Raw genomic sequence first — 9,302 nt, 5'->3', positions numbered from 1 at the left:
TTTTGTCATCTGTTGATCTAAATGTCTTTTCTGTAAGAAAGTTGAATACTCTGTGACACTAACATTTCGAATTTAAAATTTTTACTTGGGAATACATTCACATGATTCAAGAATCAAATCCATATAAAGAAATATCTTCTAAGAAATCCTGCTTTTCCTCCATTGCCATCCACCCTGTAGATAATCCGGTATGTGTTTCCAGGGCAGTTCCTGTTTGCCCCCTTTTATTTTCCAAAGGTAGCCTATTGTGCATGCTGTGTTGTACTTCCCTCTTTTTTCGTTTAACTTAGGATCTGTCCTGGAAATCTTTCCATATCAGTACATAGAGATGTGGGGATGGATCTAAGAGAATTGAAATTAAGCAGATTTATGTTATAAGCAGTTTATTGAGATATTTTAACTCTATAGGGGTACAGAATTGAAATAATGTTGTTTTCTAAACTGTCTCTAATTCTGCTGAATCCAATCCCTTTTTTGCACTGGGTAGTGGCTCCCTCAACATTTCAACCTGACTCCAAAACTTGACAATTACTTCTGTTTATTAAAACAGTCATTTTCAGTTTTTAAGAGTGGTTTAAACACTTATTCCACACACTGTCCCACGGGCCGGATTTAAGTCTCTTGAGGCTTGGCATGGAGCAGTCGTTGGGTGGCAGGGGTGGGGTGTCTGTACTCACACTCTCCCCCTTTCCCTTCAGTGTTGGGGTAAGAACGGGGACAGGGAGGGAGGACTTTCTCCTTCTGTTGTTGCTATGGAGAAGCTGAGGCCCTCCTTTGGGGCCAGTCACTAGCTGCTCATCTGGCTCACTGCCTGTGGGCTTCACAGAGACAGGTGGTGGTGGCTCTATCTCTTATAGGCAGTGGTGGTATGTATGATTAAGGATAAAATGATGTTATAAGTAGCAGAAAATCCAAACAATCATGGCTTAAGTAAGAAAGAGGTAATGAGAAGTCTGGGGCTATTACGATGGCTTCACAATGTTGTCATTGACTTAAGCTCGTTCTGGCTTGTTGCTCTGTCATCCTAGGGTAGCGCTCTCATCCTCATTCTCACAAAATAGCTGCCAGAGCTCCAGCTATCTCATCCAAGTTACAAGAAATAAGGAAATAAGGAAGAGCGAAAAGAGCTAAAGGAGGAAAGAATATTGTCCATCACAGGAAAACAAACCTTCTGAGATATCCCCAGCAGGCCTCCCCTCATTGACCTATTTTACTTGAACAACCTGAGCTGCAACTAGGCAATGCGATTTTTAGCCAGGCATTTTAGCCAGCAACGTTTTCTCCAATAGAATTGGACTTCTCTTCATAAAGTAGAAGGTGAGAGTGGCTGTTCAGTACCTAACACACCACCTTTGCCATATGGTTCCTTGCAAGATTCAGCCACATTTTCCAGTGAACCACCAGCACGTGACCTCACAGTACGCTGCTGGCCGTGCCTCTTGCAAAATTGTAACCATCAAGTTCATCCACCCTCTACCACCCCCACCTCCAGAATCTACTGGTGTGTGTGGTGTGTGCAGGATCTACCTTCAGTCCTCCTCGGACACCAGAAACCGCAGAGCATGCCCTTGTCCCTTGTCTGCCTGGCCATCCTGCTATTCCAGCCCTCTCTCGCCTGCCTCTTCCTCCAAGTGCCCCCTACAGTGCCAGGCACCCTACCCTTCTGGAGGTCGGCAGTTTGCAAACAACTTAATGAAGGGGGATAATTGGGGCAGCCCAATCTTTATGAGGGGCCCATTCAGGAATCACTCTCCTCTCAGCAGCACTGCACTTCCCCATCAAGACACCTGCCTTCAACCCAAGTTCTCATAGATTACCAGAGGGCTGGATAGTAGTACTGTGACTATAACCAGTCACATTCGAGGGTGGTTTCCTGAACTTAGTTTGTCATCAATTTAGAGCCTTTTATTCTGAGTCTTAGGCTTTAGATGAAACTCTGGAGTGACCAGAAAATTCCCCTTGTCTCCCAAACATGCCCTATTATACTTTGTGTGGACTTTTTCACACCCATCTGCTCCCCACAAAAGATGCTCCCTCACCTCCCTGATGGTGCAGTTCTAGGGTTAATGGACTATTCTGACCTTCAAGCCCCATTATTTTTTTCACAAGTATTTATAACTACAGATGCATCAGCCATAAATGTACATCCCAACCACCTCAAATCAGAGGGAAGCTGTGTGGCAAAGCTCAAGTCCAGTTAATGGGTTTGAAACAGTTGTTGGGCTTCGAGCCTCATTGCTTCTATCCTTTTAAAAAGCTTTAGGGTAGTAAGTCATACCAGAGGAGATGCTGTAATCCATGTCACAGATAAAATGCCTAGTTTATTTTTTCTTATGTTCTGAACTTTATTTAATGCATAGGGGCTTTGGGAGCTTCGAGAGGGAACCGGGGTGTATGTGTAAGTGCTGGGTGAAGCTAAGAGAAAAGAAAGAAGAATCTCAAGTAGTCTTTTCATCATCAAAACTCCTGCCTCTGCAGGCTCCCTCTTTCATCCTATTGGCTGTTACCTTCCCCCAACTTCCTCCAGGGACAGATCATTCCCTTAAGCTCAGACTTTCATTCTTCAACTACCATAGCAATTTGGGTTGTTTTTATCGTGAGTTCCACAAGTGAGCAACATTTGCAGCCTTGCCTAGGAGACCTAGGTAGTACCAGGAGGGACTGATTCTACAAAGCATGCTTGGCCAGAGGCCTTCACAGAGGCAAAGTCCCTTTGGAGACCACATAAGGAGTTCCAGCAGAGGCCAGGCCTGGCTGACCCACCCCTGTTCCTGGGCCCCGGATCCTGGACCAGGCCAGCTCAGCCCTGAGGAGACAGGTCTGGAGAAATGTCCTGCTCTCTTCCCTGATCCACCTCAGCCCTGGAGACTCCGGGATCAAAACTTATGTCTTGTCTATTACCCCTCCTAGAATGTAAGCTCCATGCATGCAAGGAATTTTGTTTGTTTAATCATCTACTGTAGCCCCAGTGCCTAGAACAATGCTGTCACACAAAAGCAAAATAAATAGTTGTCAGATGAATGACAAATCTAAGGTCTAGATTTATCTGTACACTTTGGGTAGTCTCCATTGTGCCTGCAAAATAATTGTTCTCTTCCATTGAGATCTTTCACAGGGTTCCACAGGCTGTCCCAAATTCCTGGTTGAATGGGCCAAGTAAGAGGCAGGCTAGACTCTCAACAATAGGGTAAGAGGGCACAAGAGGAAGCCAGGCCTGGGCAAAAAAGAGTGTGGGAACATGAAGTTCTGCAGCTGACTTAGGGCTTAGGCCTGGATCCTGGTCACAAGCGGATCAACTGGAGCAAGTTCAGATCTGATGGGTCCCATTAGGGTGTATGCACCAGAGGCATGTCCAGAATCTTACAGAAATTGTGGAGCTGAGTAATACCCTCATTACTTTTCATCTCTGCAGCCAGTGGCCTGGGATGGAGCAGAGACATTGAATGAAGGGTGAAGGCCATTCCCCTCAATCCCACGACATTCACCTCCTCGGCGTGGCTGGGTCACTGGGTTGTTATTGCCTCTCAGGGCATTATACCAAGTCACCTCAGTGCACAGTTTCTTGTTCTAGACAAATAATTCATCTCCTTTTTAAAAAGTGAGGATAATTCAACTCACTGATCAGGCTTCCAGATGAGTCAGTTGGGCACTGAAGATAGTTTCACTATTATACAGAAAGAAAGAGAAGGTGGGGGAAAAAAGACAAGACTGAAAAGAAAGGCTTATGTGGTTTACAGTTTGAAGTATTTCTTTTCTGAACCCTTAGAAAATTTTCCAGTGAGGCTTAGTACAGCAAAGGCTAGAGTAGAAAATGTACTTATCTGAGATCTCGGATGCCGGGCAGCCTAATAAATCCAGGCCTAGGTTAAGATTAACATTGTCTGAAGCCACAGCGTCTTGGTCTAATCTATAGTCATAGGGGTAACCAAACATCTTTCATGTGGATCACTGCTTAGTTTTTAAAAATCGCACAAGTAGGACCAAAGGAAAACTTTAAAGCTGACGTCATTGAACTTTATAAGCTGAAAATCACCTGTCTCTGCTGAATGGAGAAAACGAAGATTTGCATGAACTACCAAAGCAGCACGCAGAGAAACCCCTAGTTTTCCTAAGCAAGACTCATTCTGAGTCCCTAAGAAGCTTCTAGAGTTAGAGTCCAGGATGGGATTTGGGAAAACTGAGGCAGATAATTGTTGATTTAATGGAGGGTAAAAGACTTTGGAATTGATTTTCTCAGTGCTTAAAACCCTGCACTAGCTCCCCGTTATAAATGGAATGTCTGTGTCCCCAGATTTCGTATGTTGAAAATCTAACCCCCAAGATGATGGTATTAGGAGCCGGGGACTTTGGAAGGTGATTAGACTTAGATGAGGTCAGGAGGATGAGGCCCTTGTGATGGAGTTAGCATCCTTGTAAGAAGAAGAGGAGACACCAGAGCTGCTTCTCTTTGCCATGTGAGGACACAGCGAGAGGGCAGCTGACTACAAAGCCAGGAAGAGGCTCCTCACCAGAACCTGACCATGCTGTCACCCTGATCTCAGACTTCCTGGCCTCCAGAACTATAAAAAATAAATGGTTGTTGTTTAAGCCACACAGACTATGGCATTTTGTTATGGCTCCTCGAGCTGACTAAAACAGTCCCTATTTCATTCCCCCATTCCAGAGGCCTAAATCCACCTACAGGTGCTGAATCCTCTCCCCACTTCACCTCCCCCTCATTTTCTCTGTTCTAGCCAACTGACCAGGTATACGCCTACCTCAGGGCCTTTGCACTGACTGCCCCTTCACCTAGAATGCTCTCTTCCAGGTACTCATAAGGCCCAGCTCACTCCCTAACATCTCCCTGGTCTTTCCTCAATGTCACCTTCTCTGTAAAAGCTTCCTTTGCTTTATTTAAGATCACAGCAGTTACCTCACATTGCCTGCCCTCTCCTCTGCTTTCTTTCTTTCCATAGCATTTATATCTTTTTCTCACTTCATCGTTTTTATTGTCTATCTTCTCCCTACCAGATCATAATATTCATAAGAACAAGTATTTTTGTGTTTACTGCTATAACCCTAGCACTTAGAACAGTGCCTGGTACATAAGCCCTCAATAATCTTTTTTATTGAATGAATGATTCAATCAATTCTAAACATACCTAAATCTAAGGTCTAGATTTATCTGTACACTTTGGGTAGTCTCCATTGTGCCTGCAAAATAATTGTTCTCTTCCACTGAGATCTTGCACAGGGTTCCACAGGCTGTCCCAAGTTGCTGGTTGAATGGGCCAGGTGAGAGGCAGGCTAGACTCTCAACAACAGGGCAAGTGGGCACAAGAGGAAGCCAGGCCTGGGCGAGAAAGAGTGTGGGGAAATGAATGGGGCCACAGAGATCACCTCCAGAGAGGACAGCAGGCATCTCAGATGGCATCGTACTCCCAGTTATCCTGTGCATCCCAATAGGATTCCTTGCACAGCAGCAAGGAATTCAGATGTCAATCAAATATTCAGGCAAGCTGTGGGCTTACTTCCAGAAAATCTGTCCATGTTGGACAGGACTCTAGCCTGGGGCTCAAGGGCAGAATTCGGCCCTTAGGGGAGGAAATTGGCCAGAAGGATGGATGGTATCAAAGCCTTAGACAGACAGTCCTAGAAGAGTATAGACAGTGAAGAAATTAAGAGACTCCAAAGTAGTTCACCCCAGGACCTAGGATGGAGCATGTCACCTGTGGGGAGGGCACCTAGGGATGGGGTAAGGACGGGAGAAACCCCTTAGCTGGCCCTCTGGCCCATTGGTCTGAGAATGAGAAGTGGCCACTTCTTTTGGTCTTGCTTGCTCAGGAAGTAAAATAGATCTGAGCCTGGGAGTGCAGACAGCCCATGGATTTGGCTGTGAGAAGCTGGGAAAGGCAGAGGAAAGGAAAGGAACCGGGGCTGCTGATACCACTATGGTTGTTCTAATATTATTATCATCTTGTCCCTAAGGAGGGCTTAAGGAATTGCACTTCTGTTCTCAAGAGTTGCTTCCTAACAGCACTCTCGTCATTTAGCTTTTCTTCTCTATTCCTGGTGCTCTATTCTGTTCGATGGATGAATTTAAATTCACTATTTTAAATACCGTTGCTTTAATGAAAGCTTATCCAGGGTCCAGAGGACTTAACAGCCCCCCAGAGTCACAGCTAACATTCCATTCAGAGCTCAAGCCAGCGGTAGATTAATTAATTCTGCCTTTAAACAAGAGAAAGAAAAACCCTCGCCTTTCTTTTAGAACCACGATAAACTACTTCTTTATTTTTTGTCGGTTTTATCAACCTTTTTTTTTTTAAGAGCTGGGCTCAGCTTTATTGGTTTTTTCTGTGCCCTTTCAAGTCAAAAGAACTTTTATTAACACTGTTCCTTACCTGTTAAGCACCTGGGCTTCTGAATAGGATCTCCCTGGAAAGCCCTGAGTGATAGATAGCATCCCCGTGCTGTGCTGGATTTGCACTTGGCTGCCTCAGCCGGGGAGCCTGTTCTTACAGATGCCACAGGGCCCCAGAGACTTCTGTATTGATAAAGGTACAGATGTTTGGAAAGTGACTGACAAAGGACAGAAGGGAAAACACTACCCAGGGCTTGGCTTCTTTCATACCACTTTGTGCTGCCCAGCTTGGATCTGCTTCCTAATTCGGGGCCGATCAGAAGAACAAACTGCTTTAATCAAATTTATTCTACTGCTTCCCGATGCCCTGCTCCAATGAGCTCATCCAGAGCGGCTTCTGCCCGAAGATCTCCAAGCTGCTCACAAATGCCAGGTCATTCTCATAATGCTCTTTCTCTCCCTGCCCTGCCCAGCTCCTCTCCTAAGGAGCTCTGTATTGTTTTCTGAGGAAGAAGACATAGTCTCAACTGGTCATTGCTTTTCTTAAGTCACCAAAATGTAACAGGGCCTGGACATCAGTCCTTGTTCAACCCAGGTCCTGGGGACCAGCTAGGCCGGCTGCTCCTGCCCCTCCTTGATGCCTTCACTGCAGCCAGAGCCAAATTCCCCTAGTGTAGGCCTGAGTCCCTCTGAGCCCAATCCTAGGATGGACTCTTGATTTCTTGATTTCTTCTCTGTCCCTATTCTTCTAGAACTGCATATCTAAGGCCTTGATACCTTCCAGGTGCTGGTCAATTTCCTTACCTGAGAACCAGATTCTGTCCTTAACCACAAAACACTGTGATTCTGGCCTCCCTGAAGCAACTGGCCTCATCACAGCCCTCACCCTTTGGTCAATCTGCAGCAGCCACGCTTGGGGTACGTTCCCCAACTGTGCTTCTGCATCCAGTCCCCTTCCCCCTGGCCATGGCAGAAAGAAACACTGAGCTGTGCAGCCTGGCACCCATTGTCATCTTGGACCTGCCTGGCCACTGGATCTCCTGGGATGGCACCTGCTGGGAACAGCTCTTCCTGAAGAGATGTTTCTGCTACTTAGCCTCCCAGGACAGAATTCTTGTCTTTCTTAATTCTTTTTTCTGAGCAAGCCAGAGCCAATTCCCAACCACCATATCTCTGTTGCAACTCTGCACTGCTTTTCAAGGTGGATTTTATGGCTGTTCACAGCAGAGACTGCTCCCAGCTCTGTTTTCTGTCCTATCCCCCAAAGAGCCAGGCTTGACAAAGTAATTCTGAACAGCTCCCACCAGCAGGAAGAACATCAGCAGTTCAGACACGATACAATAAAAACCACCAGCTTGTTTTCTCACCAGTCGCCTTGTAACTAAGTGCTAATGGTGTCTTCTGTTGAATTGATTAGGTCTGTTGGCTGGGTTTCTAATACCCTGGCCGATCTGCAATTATAGAATACCCGCTGCTTTTTCCGTCTTCTTACCTAATCATAACATAGCTTCTTAAGGCAAGGTAGGACATTTCCACCCACTCCTTTGTTTGGAATGAAGAAACCCAGGCATTTCACGTAAAAAGCCCATGGCAGAATTGAGCCAATGACATTCCAAGGTTCACCAGAGCACTTTACCCACAGTCCTCTGCCATCAGCCTACTTTAGTCAATTACAGTAAACAAGCCAATTTCCCTGCCCCTTGCAGAGACCCCTCAGAGCATTGTATGACCTCACCATCATGCAGCCAGGGGGACTTGTTCCCTGCCCTCAAAGCTGGCCAGTAACCGATGCAGTGGCCTGGAATGAAAATTTTGCCAAGTAACGACAAGGAGTTTGAACTCAAAATATACAAAGGGGCCAGGTGCAGTAGCTCACACCTGTAACCCCAGTGCTTTGAGAGGCTGAGGCAGGAGGATCACTTGAGCCCAGGAGTTTGAGGCTGCAGTGAGCTATGATCAAGCCACTCAGCTCCAGCCTGGGTGACAGAGTGAGACTCTGTCTCTTAAAAAGAGAGACAGAGAGTAAAGAATATACAGACCATCCTGGCCAACATGGTGAAACCCTGTCTCTACTAAAAATACAAAAATTAGCTGGACATGGTGGTGCATGCCTATAGTCCCAGCTACTCAGGAAACTAAGGCAGGAGAATCACTTGAACCCAGGAGGTGGAGGTTGAGGTGAGCTGAGATCGCACCACTACACTCCAGCCTGGCGACAGAGTAAAACTCTGTCTAAAAAAAAAAAAAAAAAAAAAATTAAATATATATATATATACACACACAAAGGTAGGATCAGTTTTCTTCAGGAGCTGCAGAGACTGTGGAAGCAGGGACAGAGGAACTAAGCACTAAGACTTCATAAAGCAGAGAGCCACTGCAGCAACCCGGCCTGCTGCTACTGCATCCCCTGATACACCTGGCAGCCATGGGATGAACTTCCTGAATGTGCCTACAGTTAAGTTATCAGTGCTTCCTTGAGGCCCTTGGAAGTTTCAGAATTCCTTATTTTTTCATGAATCCTTACCATCAGCCCTCATTATTAAGATAAAACAACCATTGTCACCTGAAAGAACCCAGCAAATATTGGCAATCATGGAAACAATTTGTAATGTCTGCATTTCATTTGCTGATATACTTTTTTTTTTTTTTGAGATGGAGTTTTACTCTCGTTGCCCAGGCTGGAGTGCAGTGGCATGATCTCGGCCCACTGCAACCTCCGCCTCCCCGGGTTCAAGTGATTCTCCTGCCTCAGCCTCCTGAGTAGCTGGGATTACAGGCGCTTGCCACCACGCCCAGCTAATTTTTGTATTTTTAGTAGAGATGGGGTTTCACCATGTTGGCCAGGCTGGTCTTGAACTCCTGACCTCAGGTGATCTGCCCACCTGAGCCTCACAAAGTGCTGGGATTACAGTTGTGAGCCACCACGCCCAGCCCATTTGCTGATATACATTTTATTAGA

General features: G+C 45.9%; 1 long non-coding RNA gene across 1 annotated transcript in view, besides 2 other annotated features; it reads right to left on the bottom strand.

Moving 5' to 3' along the window:
• LOC127898557 (uncharacterized) overlaps nt 1-9,302 on the bottom strand; it is a 140,693-nt gene that overhangs the window by 53,683 nt on the left and 77,708 nt on the right. The gene's annotated exons all lie outside the window — the stretch shown is intronic.
• Nucleotides 3,314-3,363: an enhancer, noted in NCBI's record as "active region_22024". NCBI's record gives its function as "activates an Ori minimal core promoter by ATAC-STARR-seq in GM12878 lymphoblastoid cells {active_cell/tissue: GM12878}" and the evidence as "EXISTENCE:reporter gene assay evidence [ECO:0000049][PMID:35858748]".
• Nucleotides 3,374-3,423: an enhancer, noted in NCBI's record as "active region_22023". NCBI's record gives its function as "activates an Ori minimal core promoter by ATAC-STARR-seq in GM12878 lymphoblastoid cells {active_cell/tissue: GM12878}" and the evidence as "EXISTENCE:reporter gene assay evidence [ECO:0000049][PMID:35858748]".

This window comes from Homo sapiens, chromosome 4, assembly GCF_000001405.40.
Source record: "Homo sapiens chromosome 4, GRCh38.p14 Primary Assembly".
Classification (NCBI taxonomy): Eukaryota; Metazoa; Chordata; class Mammalia; order Primates; family Hominidae; genus Homo; species Homo sapiens.
Note: the sequence above shows the minus strand (reverse complement) of the source record. Positions and strands in the feature narration are given on the sequence as shown.